General features: G+C 41.9%; 1 protein-coding gene across 11 annotated transcripts in view; it reads right to left on the bottom strand.

The window, feature by feature from the left end:
- The window catches only part of CREB5 (cAMP responsive element binding protein 5), a 526,574-nt gene that overhangs the window by 255,709 nt on the left and 250,252 nt on the right, over positions 1 to 20,613 (bottom strand). The gene's annotated exons all lie outside the window — the stretch shown is intronic.

Here is a 20,613-nt window from a genome sequence, read left to right as displayed (position 1 = left end):
TAACTACTCACCCTTAGAGTAAAGCATGTGAGAAAATGCCTTAAAGTTTCCTTACCACTCTGCTGCCATCCTGATGTGAGGTTTGCATCAGAGATATTTAGTGCCTGCCTTCTCTGACTTGAAGGATGAATATCAGATTTGAAAATGATTTTTGTGGTAAGTGCATAATACTGTGATTTAGTGAATAGTCACTCTGCATCCTGCTTTGCATGACAAGCACACTGGCTTTTTCCCTTTCATTTTTAGTCCTATAAGAGTGCCCAACCATATATATACATTTTTTAAGAAAACGACTACCTTTCCAAATCATAATCTCAGGACTGAGGACACAAGCTCAACAACCTGTGGAATGAGGATGCGTGATTGGAATACATGACAAGACATATGGGATCCAACGATCAGAATAAGAGTTGCCGCTTTCTGCTGTATTTTCATAAAATCCATCTCTCACAATGCATGGAGTAATGGAAACACAGAACAATAATCAAGCGTCTAGTTACTTGTTCCATGTCTTTTCCTCTGGAACATAGGATGTTTGTATTCACAACTCTATCCCGTGGTGCTTGGACCATAGTAGGCATTCCACAGATGTATATTAATAGCATGAATAAACCAGTGAAAGAACATGAGATGTCTGAGTCACTTATAGGACCTAATATCATGTATTTATTTCTGATGCCTTCAAATGAAGGCTTATATGTTTAAAATTCAAAAGTAAGTAAAATATGCGAGATAGGTCTTCATAGAAAAGAAAGTTACTCAGACACCCAGAGAAAATTCACACTGAGCAGAGAAGGCTGATCAACACATTGGGACCGAAAGGTGAGAAAGAAATTTAGAACCCAATAAAGAAAGAGAAAGCGGTGTAGTGCTTATGCCTGTAATGTCAGCACTTTGGGAGGCTGAGGCAGGAGGATCACTTGAGCCCAGGAGTTTGAGGCTGCAGTAAGCCAGGATTACACCTCTACACTCCACATTACAGACAGAGGGACAGAGTGAGACTCTGTCTCTAAAAAAGAAAAAAAAAAAGAAAAGAAAAGAAAGAGAAAGTGCTTGGCCAAACAAAGTAATAGGTAAGGGCAATAAGTAAGTCTTTATAAGTGGCAAGATACAGCTCTTCAGCCTAGAAGGGTGGGGAAATTTAAGAGGTCTATTGGACAATGGGTTGAAGATGGGAGGGAAAAAAATGGAGTGCCACTAGCAATTTACTAAAGAAAAAATATGTATCTGTCTGCGCTTTGGTGTTAGCAAAGAAAAAATAAATGTTACCCAAGAGAACTAGAAGTGGTCCTTTGAAGTTCTTTGGCAAAGAAAAGGATTTCCTGCACTACGTGTTAAACGATGGTGATAACATATACGGTATTTGGGGTGGCTGTGTCCATCACATTGCACCTTTCCCAGGTTTCTGATTTCTAAATCCTGACCACACAGTTTGTCAGGAGTCCAGATGGAAACTGGGCACCTGGCTTAGACTGTGAGCCTACTGTGTCGTTGTGGGACCCCAAAGGCAGGAACAGGCTTATATATACTCACAGTCCAAAGGCTTCTCTTATACACTGGAAAATTTTTCTGATGTGGGAAAACACTATGATTGGGTAAAGTAGGATGAAAGGAAATGGCAATGTGCATTGGTGGCAGTGCAGGAACACACTTTCGTTTTTTTATAGGATCTAGAGATTTAGAGAATTGGACTAAAAATGATTTGTGTTATTTCTTTTGAAACTGAACCTTGACAAACTTATTTCCCTGGGTCTTGAGGAGGTCAGAAACTATAGGTACCATTTAGTCCATTGTTTAAGTTCAAAGACACTTAACATTTTTCATCTTGTTCATAGTCACCTACTCTATCAATAATAGATCCAAGGCACAGAACCATTTTTGACTCTCCTTTTAGAATTATTGATGCTGTACAATTTAATTTTTAAGATCACAATCTTTAAATTCGCAAAGAAAAATATAAGACATATGACTCTCCTTGAATTATCCTGGATGCCTCTTTTCCATCACCCTCTTAGGCAGTTTCCAAGTCCTACAAATTTAACTAAGTGTCCCTCATCTCTTCCAATCTTTCCGTCCATCCTTCCACCAACCTATAACCAACTGCCATCATCTTCTATCCTTGTCTAGACAATGTTCTCCTTCATGCACTCTGGCTTCTTTTCCTCCTTTTTCCCATACTATAGCCACTGTGATCTCAAAATGCAAAAGTGATCACATTACACACAGCATTTGTGAGGTTCCCCTCCCACCCACTCCCCAGAACACACACCCTAAGCCATCGGTTTGGAAGACACTGTCAGCACTCCTTGTATGGCCTCTGAAGTCCGTGTGGGACCCTTCCTACCTCCCAGCTCAACTCACACCACCTCCACTCTTGCTCTATGTGATTCATTCCACATTCTAGATATTTCCTACCCTCGTACTAACCATGCTGCATTCCAGCATCGGGCCTTGTATGCTGCTTTCTAACGCCAATGCCCTTGCCCTGCCTCCACCTTCAGACCTCAGAATCAATCATCATGTAGGCAAACCTTTCCTGCCCACACTCACCGAAGTGATGGGCACCATCTCCTTTTCCTTTACAGTACAGTGGTTTACAATTCTTCTTGATTATTTGATTAATAGCTGTTTCTCCCCTAGACGGTAAGCCCAGTGAGAGAAGAAACTAAATCTGATTTTACTCCCCATTATGTCTCCATTGCCTAGCTTAGTGCCTGATATATCAGAGTGCTCAATAACTATTGAGTGAATGGGTGAACTATAACATTCCTAGAATATTCCATATGATGAAACATTACCTTTTTGTTCCCTGGTCAATTTTCGAGAGTGCTAATGTCCTGTCTGTTCATCTTGCAATCTGCAAGTATGCAATAATGCAGTTTTAGATATTAAGGTATTGTTAAATTACGGTTCAGTTATGGGCTGAGGAAAAAGAGAGGATCAGGATTAAGAAGAAAGCCACAAGCCTTGAATATATAGTAAAAAGTAAAACCTTTTTTAAAATGTTACAGGGGCCAATGAAGGAAGATGCTGAGAGTTGAGCTTCCAATCTTTGAGCACTTTGGCTCAAATGATGACAACCACCATTGTTTACATCCACCATGGAAAAAGACAAAGAAAACTGACTTATGCTGCGGCACAAAGAATAGGTTTAATTTCTTCAGAGTAAAGCATGTTAAATAAGAGAAAGAAGTAATCCCCTCTCCCCCAAAAGTTTAAGAATCTTCTCTGAGAATCACCAAAAAGAATACTAATCACTATCTAGGAATATATCCAACACTCTCCTTCATCAACACTTTAAAGGCATCTCTTCATCTCTGTGATCTCTACCAGAAATGGAAAAAGCTCCTGAAAGACATATTCTAACTCTCCTGTAATCTCTTCTCTACCCAACACACAAAATCTGCAAATTCTCCAGTCTTCTCCAAAACCCAGAGAGTAATTTCAAAACATTTTGGAAAAATAAACAACCCAGCAAAAGCATTATCACTTCACATTAAGAGAAGGCGATTTTTTTTTCTTTAAGCTTTACATAGTAACTCAAACATGAAATTACTTCCTGAGTTCACATTGTCCCAATTATGGGTTCAAAACCTGTCTTCATTGATAAAGAAATAGCGTTTTACCTCTAGATAAATTAAGTCTCCAATTTCAAAAACACAAAGAGTGACTCTATCTTGCTGAGTTATTTCTGATAGTACAGAGGGGTAGATGTGAAGCTGGTGAAACAATGTCACCAAACTAGTGGATGGATGGATGTCAATATGCAGGGAAAGACCAGAGGTGTTCCTCAAAGCTGCTTTTGGCCTTTTCTTCTTCAACATTTTTTATCAACAGTTTGGATGAAGATGTAAAAATCATGCTTGTCAAATCTGCAGTTGACACAAAGTTGGGAGGCATAGCTAATGTTCTGGATAGGAGAATCAGGTTTTACTTGAGCCAACTGTATGATCTGGCCTCCAAAAATGCTAACATAAATCTAGGTTGCTTTAGGAGAAGTGAAACATCCGGATCTAGAGAAGTAATTATTCCATTGTAGAGTGCATTGGATTGGCCACATTTGGCCACCACATTTTAGGGGGAAAATTGACAAATAAGTGTGAATAAAGGCATCCAAAATATATCACAGGAAGAGCAGAAGAATCAGAGAATATTTAGTCTGAAGAGGAGATTTAAAGGGTCATGCTAACTGCTTTAAAATATTTGCAAGATTAGACATAGTCTGTGTTGCTCCAGATGGCATAATTTCTTTTGTTTTTTATTTTCAGACAGAGTCTCGCTCTGTCACCCAGGCTGGAGTACAATGACGCAGTCTCGGTTCACTGCAATCTCTGTCTCCTGGGTTCAAGCGATTCTCCTGCCTCAGCCCCCTGAGTAGCTGGGACTACAGGCACGTGCCACCACACCTGGCTAATTTTTGTATTTTTAGTAGAGATGGGGTTTCACTATGTTGGCCAAGCTGGTCTTGAACTCCTGACCTTTTGATCCACCCACTTCCCAAAGTGCTGGGACTACAGGCATGAACCACGGCACCCAGCCAGAGGGCATAATTTCAAAAATGTAATCATGATGATAAAAGTCAATAATAATTACAATTTGAATACCTACGTTGAAGCAGGCACGATGGTAGATGCTTTATAAACCACATCTCTAGTCTTCCCAATGATCCTTAGAGGTAGGCATTACTATCCTTATTTTAAGATGAGAAAAAGAGTAAAACTTCTCACCATCACCAATACCATGCCACTCACCTCTGGTCACCCTCACTCCTAATGGGGTGATACTTTCAAGGTACAGATATGACCTTCTGTCCGAACAAATTTACCAATATGTAGAGATTTCCAAAGACACAACAAGCTGCCTGTAACATACTGAGCTTCCTGGCACTAGAGTTAAGCCAGGATGAGTGGCCATTTGTCAGCTACGTCACCAAAAGGATTCCTGCCTCAGAAGGGAGATGGCACCAGATGACCTCCAAGGTCTCTTCTATTGCTAAGATTCTCTCATTTATGATACATGGTTCCTGCTTTGGCTCAAATGTTTCCAAATGATTAGTAATGTGTAATAGTGTTGAAAATATACAGGCTTGGGAGTTAAGAGGTCTATTCTAGTCCAGTTTGTCTACCCTTCCTTGTAGCCATGTAACCTAGATGAATCATTCAACCTCGCTGGGCTCAGTAGTCTCATCATTAAAGGAGGGGGCTGGACCACATGGTCTTCATGATCTTTTCCAGCTGTGACACTCCACAAGTCTCTTCCTATGTTATATTTTATGAGACACTAAATATCCAAACAGACTTTTTAGACTCTGATTCATGGACCTACAAACGTTGATTTTTCTTCATAACCATAAGCTTTTGTAGAAGTGAGCCTCCCAAAAATTATAGCTTTCTGCCAAACCCCAAGGGATCATGATTCAAGAAACAGATCTAACAAAAAGTACAATCTCCCAACCACCAAAGATGAAAGCTCCACTTTAAACAAACGATCTTCACCGAAATTTCTCCCTCTTTGATTCACATTTCTCAGCATGTCCTTTGACTTCTTCCTTTCCTCAAGTATCTTGGGATGCTTTGCTCTCCATTCATTATTGTTCTGAGACATAAAGGGTGTGAATGAAATGAGAAGCAGGAGAATAATGAGTCTTGATTGCATACTCCTGAGCTTGAGGTAGAGTGGTAATTGTCTTTCTGCATGCATGGGCTTGGAATACAAAATGCAAAAAAACAATCTGATGCACATAAACATACATCCGTGTTTTTAAAAATAACTATAATTTCAGGGTGTGGTAATGAAGGATGAAGGGAATGGACCACAATTGAAAGTGAAGGTTGGAGCATATAGGCAAAATGATGTTGATTCCTGTAAGGTCTCAAAATGTTATCTGCAAATCTATATTCCATCCAACTGCCACTGTGTAGAGACTTTATGGGATTTTCCATAAAGAGCCAGGGTCATCTTAACTCGCATTTACGAGTTGTGCAATCTTAGAGTTGTCTGCATCTTAATGATGCCTGGGCAGTTATGAAGACTTTCAGAAGTTCCCAGATGTAAACATCCCTGAACTGCATCCAAAAGATATGCAAGACATTCACAGAATAACAAAGGTTCTAACCCTCTGGAAGCTACTAGGCTTTCTGGAGGTATAGAAAAGATGTTAAAGAGCCCTGATTCCTCCATTTGGTGCTCTCAGGAGCTATCTATCAGGACAGGTATTTTTTGGATCTTGCTAAGAGGACAGGCTGCCCCATGACCAAGGGGGTAGTGAGGTATCAGAGGACACATGGAGTAGAGGAGGGCACCAGGGACCATGCAGGCCACCTCTCCCTCCTAGCATTCTCCGCAGCACTGTAACACAGGGCAGGTAAGAAACACACACAAGGTAAGAAACCATCTCAAGTCACCTCTTCAGAAAGGAGAGGAGAGCACAGGGGGGCTATGAAAACTCTAGCCTTGATACACATATTTAAATTCTGCTTTTTCACTAAGAAAATTAGCTAGGCATGGTGGCACACACCTGTGGTCCCAGCTACTTGAGAGACTGAGGCAGGAGGATCACTTGAGCCCAGGAGGTTGGGGCTGCAGTGAGCCGTGATTGCACCACTGCACTCCAGCCTGGGTGACAGAGTGAGACCCTGTCTCGCAGTTAATTCATTCATTCATTTTGCTTTTTCAGTTTGCTACTTAACTCTGACAAATTCCAAGAGGTACCATAGTATAAAAGAAAAACATAAGCACTAGGATGGGCCAGACCTAGGATCAAGTTTGCATCAGCTCCATCATGTCTGGGGCACAAAATTTAAGTTCTCTGAGCCATACCTTTCTCATCTTTAAAATGGAGATAATCATCGAAAGGACAGGATTAGCATCAGAATCATGTGAGATGACGGATGTCCCAGCACAGCGTCTGAAAACAAAAATGTACTTCTTTCCTTTCAGTAAAGTCCAGAACATGAGGCTCAGAGACAAAATGTACAGTCTGGTGGCTGCTCCCCATGACTGATATTAATATTAGTAATATTAATAATGGCTAACACTGATACAGCATTACTGTATGTCAGAAAACTCATTTAACTCTTATCATCAGTCTAGAAGGTAGATATATGGTTACTATACAGTTGAGGACATTGAGGCAAAGAGAGGTTAAGTGACTTGTTCAAAATCACACAGCCAATAAGTGGAAAAGCTCAGCTCTAGGCAGTTTGGCTTCAGACGTCTTAACCAGGCTCATCACCACTAAGCCCTGCTGCTTCTAAGTCTTGTGGTACAAATATTTTTTGTAGAAAGTGACTTGGTAGAAAATAAGGTATGCCTGTTATTCTTACAAATGGGCACTATAAATAAGTGATTAATTAATATTGGTATGTGGTCTGAGAAATATACAACAGTATATCTGGCATACCACTAATTTGGATCAATGTCATCATCACCACTTTTACAGCTGGAAAAACTTGGATATACACCATGAATTCATTTCAAAATGTCTGATTAGTGTCCCTTATCTAAAAGTCATGCTGCATGCATAGGCAGCTCCCCTTTGACTTGAGGGAAGACATCACAGTAGGTAGAGAGGCAGCTTGCACACTGATATAATCATCAGTGGCCTTAGCCCCCTCACCCATTGCCAGAAGCAGACGGCCCCCATAAGTGAGGTTCTAGACTTGAGGCTGTCAGCTCCTGAGCAGCAAGATCTGCCCAGGTTGCTGAGGCTCCCCTCCAATCCCCAGAACTCTGTCATTCTTTCTAATACTGGGTTTGAGGCAATGGAGCTCTGAACCATCCCTGTGAGCATTTTATAGCTATTCATTTAATCTTGTAGTCGAATACTCAAGACAATAAATATCTTCTCAGGTGCCACCCTTGACTGTGAGAAACAGTTTCCAAGTGTCTCTCAAAGAAAGATTCTGCCCCTTCCTGGTCAGTTTCTTAATGCCTTGAATTGTCCATGTTTCTGTTCTCATCTCCCACATTACTGTCTTGGTTGTCTTTGCTAAATATAATCATATGGGTTAAAAGGAGAGAAATAGCTCTACTTTATTCGGGTTACTGGAATCAAGATTGAGCAAATTTCTGTGATTGACGTATCCACCAAAATCTTGGACATTAGAAACTAGTCTCGTGCCATTAAAAATGATGTAATTGGCAGGGCTGGTGGCTCACGCCTGTAATCCCAGCACTTTGGGAGGCCAAGGCAGTCGGATCACCTGAAGTTAGGACTTCAAGACCAGCCTGGCCAACATGGCGAAAACCCATCACTACTAAAAAATACAAAAATTAGCTGGGCATGGTGGTGGGTGCCTGTAATCCCAGCTACTTGGGAGGCTGAGGCAGGGATAAATGCTTGAACCAGGGAGGCAGAAGTTGCAATGAGCTGAGATTGCACCACTGCACTCCAGCCTGGGCAACACAGTGAGACTCCATCTCGAAAAATAAAAATGACATAACTGTTCACTGTTCTTGCAGCAGAAAACATGATGTGTTCACCTGAAAATAACCAGTGCCTGCCTCCATGCTGTGTGCTTGGTAGATAGCAATGGATTCAATTATTCTGCAAGTAAATGAATGATGTCTGATCTTCAGCAAGCTTATAGCTTCTCTGTACTTCAGTTTTCTCAATTGTTAAATAGAGACAACCCTATCTGATAAGGTTTTTGTAAAGATTAAATCAGGTAATACAAGCATAGCATTTAATGCAGTGTTGGATAATTAACTGTCCAATAAACGTTAGCAGCCATTATTCTAATTATCACTATTCTCATCATCATTACTATCAATGCTAACACCAGATAGTATCAGCTAACTACTCCTTGGTCCTCCACCTTATCCCACACACACTTCTTTCAAAGCCCTTAGAACACACTGGTATATATACTATGTTTCAAGTCAGTCTTCCTTCTAGCTCTGAACACTTTGATGATGGGGACAGGGTCTGATTTCCTACCATTGTCCTCAGGGCCTAATACAATGCCCACCACATAGATGTTTGCTGAGTGAATATATAGAACAGTACAATGAGTGCTGTGGAACAAGAGAAAATAAAAAGTCAGCACTCTCCTTACTACAGTTAGCCTCCAGCTTAGAAGGAATATGAAAAGTAGGGAAGAGAAGGGATGAAAAACACATGAATCTGAAAAATACCTTCACACACACACACACACACGCACACACGCACACACACACGCACACGCAGGCACACACACGCACGCACACACGCACACACACACGCACACACACGCACACACACGCACGCACACACGCACGCGCACACACGCACACGCACGCGCGCACGCACACACACGCACGCACGCACGCGCACGCAGGCACACGCACACACACACGCGCACACACACACGCGCGCGCGCGCACACACACACACGCGCACACACACTGTGGAAGCAGAGAAAGATGTGTCACCGAGAGCCAATTATACCATGTTCTGAAGGGCAAAGGGCTGGTCAGCAGGTCTGTGTTTTCATCCAAACTCCACCACTAAACACATGATCCTGCTGAACTTCTCCAGTCTGTCGATTTTGTCTTCATGGTTCCCACATCTGCCTTGCCTCTTCTTGACCATCCCACTAGCTTTAGAGGTCTGTCACCTCCTGTCCTGATCATACAATTGCTTCCTACTGATATAGGAGCCTGGTTCCTGGCTTCCAATCCTTTTAGTCCCTCCCAGAACACTCCAGACCCTGTTCTCCAATTAATTGATGTAATTCAGCACTTTCCTAATGCTACTCTCCAGCTCTGAAACCTGCTATAGCTCCCCATTACCATCAGTAAAAGCCCACACTTAGCCTTGCCTTCAAGACCCTATATTTCCAGCCTCATCTCCTACCACTATCCCCTGTGCAAACCCTAAACTCCAGCCACACTGGTCTATTCATTACGCAACTAGTGACTTCAAATTTTCACCTTCATACCTTTGCCTGTACATGCCCCAGGCCTAGAATTTCCTCTCCTTCTCTCTGCCTAGCTAAATCCTGTCCTCTAAGCAATAAATCTGTTGATTGATCAATCAATGACATTTTCTCAAGTACAAAATGAGGATCATGTACCTTTGCTTCCTTTGACCTACAAAGTAAAGATAAAGCAATGGTTTGAAAAGAGCTTTAGTAACATACATATTATCTTACAGCCCTGCTCTTCTCTGCTCTGACATCCTCTTATTCTTAGAATGATTAGCTTCCTCTCCCCTTTTCAGGTTCATCTTAAACGTCACCTCCCTAACTAAAGGTATTCCACCTGTTATCTTCTACTCAGCACCCCAGTCCTTTCACCTATAGCATGTTTCACAATGTGCGATTGTTATTACTACTATTTCCAGTTCACTGTACAATCAATTCCAGGAAGAAAGGAACACAGCCTCTTGTTTTCTCTTCTATCGCTAGCACCTAGCTCAGTGCCTGGCACAGAACTATATAAATTACCATTGGTTGGATAGATAAATGAACTGTGATTTTTGAGGCGTTGAAATGTGACTAAACAGCAACTGATAGACAATTTCCTCTTGTCTAAGTCAGGCACGTGGTCATCTTAAGCCTATGATCCTAATCTAAAAAGATAACATTGGCTGGGCGTGGTGGCTCACGCCTGTAATCCCAGCTTTTTGGGAGGCTGAGGCGGGCGGATTGCCTGAGCTCAGGAGTTTGCAACCAGCCTGGGCAACATGGTGAAATCCCGTCTCTACTAAAATACAAAAAATTAGCTGGGTGTGGTGGCACATGCCTGTAATCCCCGCTACTCAGGAGGCTGAGGCAGGAGAATCGCTTAAACCTGGGAGGCAGAGGTTGCAGTGAGCTGAGATCATGCCACTGCACTCCAGCCTGGGTGACAGCCAGACTCCGTCTCAAAAAACAAACAAACAAACAAACAAAAAACCTATATGCTGATTTGAGTTATCCTAAGTCATATCAACACGCAGAGGCCAGCAAGCAGCTTAACAGTCTCCTCAATTTGCCATGTGTCTGGTCAACCAGAGCCACTGATGGAAGTGAGGGCCCTTCCAAGTGACTGGGAAACCGACAGGAAAAACCAAAGCAAAGTGACTAGAAACAAGTGAGGAAAGGAGTCCTGAGGCAGGTGTGGGGCAGATAAACAGATGGCAACAATGACCTTGCCAAGCTCTCACACCTGTGTAGTGTGGGAGACGAAAGGGTATTTAAAATCACGAAAGGGGCGCAGCACATGCAGAGAAATGCTGAGCATTTGCACACTGCAAATCTAGTCTGGCGGTGCAAGAGGCAAATGGCCTATTCTAGAATTACTAAACAAATGTCTCTCCCTTCCTTACCAGAAATTGGCCAAGTTACTAAAAATAAGGACACGTATAAAAGTACCACAAGGATGCTGAAGGGTCTATTTCTTCAGCATTTCAAAGAGACTCCAATGCATACCTACTTAATGACCAGAAATATAAATGTAGCACTCTCTGGAAAGCTGCTAATGATATATTACAGAACTGAGAAGAGACTTGCCTTTGCCTTTCCCTTGCCCAAGCCCCCCTTTCTCAGCTCCTGTTCTCTCCTGGCCAAAAGAGCTGGAGGGTAGGGCTGGCTAAGTTGAAATTGCTTGAAAACTCCCTTGCCTGGAGCATTGGTTGGGCACCTGCATTCTGGAATAGTTGGCAAATTATACTCTCAACATAAAACAGAAATGCTATCTTCAGTGGAAAGGAAAATGTGCTACAAGTTAGACTTCCTCTTCCAAAACAATAGAGAAAAGAGATGCTTGCTGCTTCATTTCACTTCTGGTGGAACCTGTCAGGTAGCTCTTCATGAATGGCCTTGCATTGTAAATTGTCTAGTACTTGCAAATGTAAGTTACTGCTGTGCTGTTCTAATGATCAGTGTTAATTCAGCAGCCTATTTCTACCCTGGGAAGTGGGTGTTTTACTGGGGAATAAGTACCTTTGAACCACCATTACTTCCAACCAAACTTAGTCGTCATTAACAGTATTTCTTTTTTCTTAAAGCAAAAACCAAACTAAGCAATGCAACAGAGAAACTCAGTGAGAGGCTTAGTCTGTCTTATTTTATGACATCTGAATTTAAAGAGATAACATTTTTCTCTTGATCACAGCAAACAAAACAGCATTTGTTATGTAGCACAGGGGATAATACACTGGCCACAACTGGGCATGACAGTGCCCAAAGAAACTTCCAGAAATCCTGTCTGAATATTGAAAGCAAACTTCATCAATTTCTCCTAGCACAACTTGGGTTCTCTGGATCCTTAGGGGTCCCTGGTGCAATAGGAGTCACTGAGGTAGTTTTCATTTTCACAGTTCCCGTAAGGTGCTCCAGAAACCTGCATGCTATAACCTATTACCACTGTGATTTCATTTCCTGCTACTCTACCCCATCACTCTGTTGTTGCAGACTCACAAGGACCTCCTTGATATTCTGTGAGCACACAGGAGCCTTGGCACCAGCTATTCCCCTAAACTGGAAGGCTTCTTCCCACATATCCCCAGTTCCTTCCCTCATCTCTTCCAAGTGTTTCCTTAAATGTTACCTTCCAATGAGGCTCACATATGAGGCCTGACCACTTGATCAGAAATTACAGCTCTGCCTCCTTGAAACCAATTTCACCCTTATTTAATCTATCCTTTCCCATTCATGACATCCTCCCTCACTTATTCTGGTCCAAAAGCACCAGATCATTTCTGATCCTTATTCTTCAAATAAGAATTAAAAAAAACACACACACAGAAAACCTAATGGTTCTATTTTTTTCTTAACCATCAAGGATCTCTTTTATGATTTCTTTCTCTGGGATCTCATGTCTTTAAAATACTTCTTTAAAAGTCATGAATTCATTTTCGTATATAATCCCCTGCCTTCTGAAGCTATCATATTCCTTAATTTTTAAAATTTCATTTCACTTCATTGTACCGTGAGATTCCACTGTTTCTCAGTATTGTTAAAATTGCACTCAAACAGAAAGAAGGTGATGCTTTAGTCTGAGAAGACTGCATATAAAAGCACAATTTCAATTAGAGAGTTTGACTACTTTAACATCTGGGATCCCAGTAGGAAACAGCTAGTACCTTCAAACTGGGTAATGTGAGGAGCATTTAATAAAGAGACTTTTTGCAAAGGTGGGAACAGATTGTAGGAAAGCCCTGGGGCCAGTTTCAGCAGGGAGCTGTTAGTATCCCTAGGCCTACAAGAGTAAGAGAAGGAAGAAGTTACCAGGACTCAGGAGAGAGGAAGCTGGGGAGAAGTCAGTAAGACCAGGGAAGAAGAGAGAACCATGTGGGGAGAGGGCACGTGGCCAGAGCTGTGGCTCCTGGTCAAAGAAAGCAGCCAACTGAAGGAGCTAGGAGAATAGATGCCCAGTGTCTCCCTGCTTCCTTCCTGGAACCTGCAGTGATGCCTCCATAGCCATATGCCCAAACTAAACAGGAAAACACCAGTTAAAGGTGCTCATTAAGATTGTGTGTACGGGCCAGGCTTTCAGGGCAAGAACAGAGTCAAAAAGGGACAGAATGGGCTTGGATAGGTGATCAGAAAATACCCAGTACAATTATGTGTTCATCAAACTTAGGTTATTTTTATTTTATCACCAGTATATCCATAATACACATGTTCATTAGAGAAAATTTATACAAGAAAAATTAAGTCAGAAGGGTAAAAAATCATCCATCAACCTAACACACAGAAAAATAAACTGGCTTTGCATTGACCCACACACCTAAAAAATCATGATTGGGCTGAAAAAAACAATAGACGGCAGAGCTAAGACGCACCCATCCCATGGTGTGCCCAAGTAACCTGGCTCCACCCCACAAAGATGAGCTCGGGCAAGCGTGGCTCCTCTGAACCCAGTTACACGCCCTGAAAACCAGGTCTCACTTTAAGGCCACAGCTTCCTATCTGTCTACATTCCTCCTGGTGAAACAATCGGGCTTAGAATAAGAACAGCTTTATATGTGGGAGTCACAGAAGATGGAATTTGGCACCTGGTGTTTATGTACCATAAAGCCATTACCGTGCCGAGCTCAACTCTACTTTCTGCCAAAATTACTGAGCAGGAGGAAAGTGAGCACATCTAGAAGCTGCATTTCTCTACCTAAGACAGCCAGGATATATGGGTTGACTCCCTAAGCAGAAGCGCTAATGTCAGTGACATCCGTATTTTTATTGAGGCACTCTCCCTGGCAACCTCTCATTCCTGTGAAAAACCACTAAGTCTGCAGGTCCCTGGTCTTCGGCAACTGGAACATTCTATAACATTCCATTTTAAGTTCATTTTCATTCTATTGTGCTCTACTGATAACTTCAATGTGGAACAAATTTACTGATTCTTTGATAGACTAAGAAATAATATTTCTAAACCTAAACTCTAGATGAGATCTCAGGGGAATCAGGGATTCACATAAGAACAACACCCATATTGCTGGAGCTTTCAGTAAGTGAATTCCTGGACAAAAGGCTTTGTAACTTTCCCTTTGTGATGATGCTTATGTTCTTATGCTAATGATAGTTATGTGTTTGTTTGCCTGTTTTTTTTATTTTGCTCTAAGATCTGTTTTGTAAATATTTGAGTGTTGTCCAGTTACTTTAAAAAAAATCAAATTACAGCCCTATATGTAAAGAAATACGTTTTTCAGATAGATGTCTTTTCACACCTATATAGTTTGCTAGTCACTTTATGAAACAGTTTTCAAACCCTATGGATGGATTTAGAAATTTAAATCTTCCCTAAAAAGTCAAATAGAATCTCAGTACAAAACGCCTTTTTAAAGGTTTATAATCATTGATAAAAGGTATGGTCAGGGCAAAAGATAAACCACAAAGTATTTGAATTTCTTATATTATCTTCACATTTGTGAAGTGGCTTTGCCTACAAGTCAATCATGCAGTTGTACCTAGTATTGATTTCTCTGGGTAGCTAACTACTAATCTCACATCTGCTGGCACAGGAAGAGAGAACAGTTGCCAGCCCTCATGAATGCTTTGTCTTGTATGTTGCTCCATTTATTCTAACATCCTTGCACACCACCATGTTTGATAAAGGTTTAGGTAAACCCATATGCAGGAAGCTTTTTATTTACACACACACACACACAATGCAGCTTATAGATCTATGACAACTGGAAGACCTCTAGTGTGCTGAGTCCTACCACCAGCTGAACAAAACTCCAGTGAAGGCGGAGGAGAGGGGAGGAACACTGAGCCAGAATGGGGTGCTTATGGTCTTTTATCTTAATTTTTGTGACATGATCCAATTATATCTATTCAATAGTGCCCTCTAATTACTAGCAGAGATGAATAATGAAAGATTCTCCTTGTATTCAAGCTCTCCCCAAGTCCGCTTCCCTCCTTGACTCGCTCATGTGAACAGTCTAGATTCACATATAGAGCATACCTAGAGCTTGTGGCACACTTAGCCAAATAAAGGGTCACTTAAAATACTGGAAACGCCCTCCGGGCCTCCAATAAGAGGCTGTGGCCCAGAGCTGACCTTGTGAATAGCAGGGTGGAATGGAAAGGGACCCTGTCCTGCCTCCAGGCACAGTGTCTGTAACCAAATGGGTGCTGCCCAGTAGAGTTACACTTTTAATATGCAAGATTTGATTGTTAGGTTTCAGTGGTAACTTAGGAAAATGAAAAGAAAAAAGCAGATCCATGGAAGTTAAGATAATTATTAACACAGAGGAAGCCAAGGCAGTGAAAAGGAAGGGAGAAGGCTCCACCCCAACAGGAACAGAAACAGGAATTCAGATAGATAAACCCAAAACAGGGGGTCTGGCTTGGATGCAAGCTGGGAGACAGGAAGGAAGAAATTCCAAGTCTGAGGTGAAGATGTCTTTAATGAAACTTGTCAGTACCTGCACCCAGAACTTCAGAGTTGAAATATACCATGGAGAGCCTTGAATCCAACTCCCTGACTTGACAGAGAAGAAGGTGGAGGCCAAAGAGATGGTGTGACCAGACCAGTGGCCCACATCTAAATGGAGGCAAGAGTAGGACTAGAATCTGGATCTCCTGACTACTAATTCAGTGATTTTTTTGTGACGATGGGTGATTTTAGAGAGTGTCATTTCTGCAAAGGGGAAGGAATTACTTTATTTCATGTTCCTATTTGGATCTCCATACACTGGATCAGTAAGGTAATTATTTCACTTTGGGGAAGAGAAAAGCCCAGGGGTCCACTCAAAGGAGGCAGGAGTGAGGGTCAAGTTCAGCAGATATCCATCTGCTGGATATTACTGTTGGAAACTGGAGTGAAGGGAAAGGAATTCTGTTTGATGGACACACTGACCTTAGGGTCCTCTCAACCTCCCATCAGCCAAAGAATCTCTGACCACAGAAGCCTGAGGACATTTTATTCTGGAAAGACATTTCAAGCTTCCCCAAAGCATAGCCCAGTTATAAGGCTGAGTCCCAGTCGGCCACTTAACGTATTTTCCTAAGAACAAACAAGAAAATACAAACAAACAAAATCCAGCAAAGAATCACTTTCATTCTGACAGTTTGTCCTCATACTAAAAGTGCCTAGTACGATTAAGACCATTTCCTCTGTGCACACTGAAATAACGCTCCGATAAAAAGCTTAAACTGCAGTGTGGCTGCAGGGACAGGAAAACAGGACTGCCTCTATGGTTTCATATACAGATTGTGTCACACTTAATGCTGAAATCATAAACTATATATTTTTACCCCCTCCAAGCTGCCTATTGTGTGCATATAAACAGGAACCTGGCAGCATGTCAGGGGTGCAAATTGATTTCCTTTCCCAAATAAAATTTTAAAAAGCAAATAAACAAGGTTATGTTGGCTAATGAAAGATTACATGCCAGGCTGGGGAGAATTCTTTTAAAATGTATTTTCTTGAGCAAAGGCAACACAAGGCATCCATGAAAGGCTCTTTCATAAGCAACATGTTTACACAAAAATGCATTACTTGAAAGTCAGGAAAAGGCCTGGTGCATCTCCCATGATATATTTGGATCATGTTTTATAAAAAATAAATTAGGGGTGGGTAGAAAGTAGGGAGTCCCTGCAGTGCTGGGGAATTTAGAAATTAACTGAAGCTGCATAGAAGTAGGATGAAGTTGTTCTTGTTTAGAGAATGTTATGACCTTAGTGTTTTTATAATTTACCATCAAGACCTAAGTAGCCCACCTTGAAGGTGTATTATTGGCATGAAGAAAGCTGGGAGAGAAAACTGAATTGCGCCCACCACGCTCAGAGACATATGAATGGCTATTCTGGTTGACTATCATCAGTGGAAACATCTGCTGGAGAGTGGCCTATTTCCTAACAGAGATGTTGAGACCAGCTGGAAGCAGTTTTAGTAATCTAATGTGTAAGAAACATTTCCAGGATCATGCCTACCTCGTACTTCATCGCAGATAATTCATTTCAACCTTGTCCTGGGACAAAAGCCATCCCTAGTGGACTGTGACCTCCAGATCAAATCATCCTGTACCATCTCCTTCTTTCTCCATCTTCCCATCTTTAAATTCCTTTCTGCCAGTGAAGCCAGGTAGCATGAACCCTGATGGCACTCTAATGAGTAAAGTCATAAGACAACATGACATGTGGCTGAAAGATGGGGCTAAAGAGCGTCAAGGGGAAGGCTCAAGACTGCCCAGGAGACAGATGAGTTGCTATCTGCTGATGGCCATTTATGAGCAGGAGGCATTTTGCTTGTTGTTTTGAGCCCCCGTGATGTACCCTTCTCTCACAGTTACTGTCCCTCCTCAGGGGATGGGCATGGTGTACCAGAGACCAGAAACATGGGAGGAAAGTCTCCATAGTCTCGGGATGGCCTCGATAATAACAAAAGGAGATAAATCTGCACAGGAAGTGTAACTCAGCAAGCTAGTTAGAAATAAATTGGTGGCTCACTCATGCCTGTAATTCCAGCACTTTTGGAGGCCAAGGCAGGTGGATTGCTCGAGCTCAGGAGTTAAAGACCTGCCTGGGCAACATGGCAAAACCCCGTCTCTACAAAATATACAAAAATTAGCTGGGCATGGTGGCAGGCGCCTGTAATCCCAACTTGGGAGGCTGAAGCAGGAGAATCACTTGAACTGGGAGGCAGAGGTTGCAGTGAGCTGAGATTGCACCATTGCACTCCAGCCTGGGAGACAGAGTGAGATGAAAGAAAGAGAAGAGAGAAGAGAGGAGAGAGAAAAGAGAGAAAGAGAGAGAGAAAAGAGAGAGAGAGAGAAAAGAGAGAAAGAGAGAGAGAAAGAGAGAATAAAAAAGAGAAAGAATAAAAAAGAGAGAAAAAAGAAAGAAAGAAAAAAGAGAAAGAAAAGAAAAGAGAAAGAAAGAAAGAAAAGAAAGAAAGAAAAAGAAAGAAAGAAAAGAAAGAAAGAAAAAGAAAGAAAGAAAGAAAGAAAAATCATAGAGGTGACCCTGAGACCCTGCAGACCCAAAGGTCCTACGCAGGTTTTAGGAGTGTGTGGCATGGCAGGTGTGAGAGCTGGGAGGCCTGAGACAGTGAGTTCTCCTCCCTTGTCCCCTCCCGACTCACCAAGCAACCTTGGTCAGGTCTCGGGACCACTCAGAGCTTTCTTTTTTCCACCACTTTTAAATAGAAGGTAAACACTGTCAGGCTGATGGCTGCAGTGATTAATGGGGTAACATTTGTAAAATGCTAAGAGCTTTCCAGAGCTCAAATGCAAATGCTTTAGACCAAATATTCTGGATAATAGTTAAAACACAAAAAGGGTTAGTCACCAGTTGGCTGAGAATATGAACCCGGGAAGGAATTACAGAGGGGAGGTGTGTTTTGTGAAAGGATTTGGCTAGGGGTGGGCGGACATCAGAGGAAAGGAAAAAGAAGGGGAAGGAAGCTTGGGGACTTGCAAAATCTGAAACACGAACTATTCTGTTTCCAAAAGAAGCCATTAACTTTTAAAACTCTGCACCTTTTTCAACAACACCAAAGATAATTTAATTACAGAAAATGTTTTTCTATACACATAATCCTATAGGGTTTAATCCAATGTATGTGTGAGAGGAGATTATACTGATTTTTTTTTTTTTTCCTATCCCAAGAATATAATACTTGAATCTGTGGGAGATGCCATATACCAATCGGCTTGGCACTGGTAATCATCAACTTCACTTGCCCCTTTTTCTGTGGAAATGGAAGAATCAAATTAATCATTGGCAAATTTGATAACAGATGTGTTTCTCAGCAAATCCACATCAAGTATTCAGAAAGTAATTACCCCCTAAAGCTTGTTGTGTTCCTATGAACATTTGGCATCAACTGAAGCCTTCAGCCGGCGTTGTTTTTATCTGACTTGAAGCTGAAGCCTCGGGGTGATACTCCAAGTGCTGCTTTAGATTATAAAATCTTAACGGCCCCTGGCTTTAGGGCACTGTGTTTATTGATGCTATGTAAGCAATTTACAGTCCCTTAATAGCGCATTCACCACAATGTTACAGTGTTTAACTTGTTAAATTATATTTAGAGCTTCAGGGAAAATTACCTCATTGGCTTCACTAGCATGGGTTATTGATATCACACAGGAGTTAGGCAATATCCACCTGACTGGGGACAGCCCAAGAACATTTTATAGGTGGGAGGCGGAGAAGGTGAGGAAGTAAGGGATGGATGAGGGAGATAGAAGAGGCAGAGATGCAGGGAAAGTAGTCGGGGAAGAGAGAAGAGGCTGAGGAGAGCTCGACCGACATCTTACAGAGTCACTTTTAAACTGTAAAGCAAAGGAATTGGCAATGGTGGCCATTTTGAGTCCAACTTCTCTTTCAGCCCCCTCCACAACCAGGCATTGCTCCATTCCCAATTCCCAATCTCCCTGTCCCTTAGAAGGGTATCCTGCATCTAGGGGTCTGGGAGACAGCACTGACCTCAGCTACTATAACCACTCAACCAATAGGCTTGGTGTTTAGTGTTTAGCTCTTCAGGGCTAAAATATTCCAAGGGAAACTATGAAAACGTTAATAAGAAGAACAAGAAGACAGAGAAGGAGGAGAAGGAGGAAGAGGAGGAAAAGAACAGCAGGAGGGAGAGGAGAAGGAGAAGAAAGAAGAGAAGAGGAGGAGGAAGAGAGGAAGAAGAGGAGTAAGAAAAGGAGGAAGAGGAGAAAGAGGAGGAAGGAGAAGCAGCAAAATCTTTGTCAGACTAAGAGTGCCATAAAGTATGGATAAAATATCTTCGAGCCTGAAGCTTAGTGATGTCATGAGGCTTCTTCAGAAAAGCAGCCAAAGGCCAAGGTATTAAAATCCACTGAAGAGGCTAGAAAACAGGCATGTGAAACCAACCAAGTGGCTGATGTGCTCTAGGGTCTTAGTTCATGTGACATCTGCTGGCTCACAAAGGGCTAAGGGTTTGAAGCAAACCATCAGCAATGACACGCTTTGCAGCATGTAACCTCTAAGAGAAAATAGCATTCTTTTTCCCCCTTATGTAAGCTCTGTATTAGGTTTCTCATGCTCAGGATACTTGATAATAATTAATAACCAAAATAAAACAGGATGTTAAAAAAAAAACAGGCATCCAGTGAAATAAACAACATTTCTCACCAGGTCATTTTGGCCAGCATGATTACTGACAAGGAATTAGAGAAGGAAACAGCAGGCTGTGAACATTTCCAAAGGTAGAAAATTAGAAGAGGGG

Source organism: Homo sapiens, chromosome 7 (assembly GCF_000001405.40).
Source record: "Homo sapiens chromosome 7, GRCh38.p14 Primary Assembly".
Classification (NCBI taxonomy): domain Eukaryota; kingdom Metazoa; phylum Chordata; class Mammalia; order Primates; family Hominidae; genus Homo; species Homo sapiens.
This window is presented reverse-complemented; position numbering and strand designations above follow the sequence as displayed.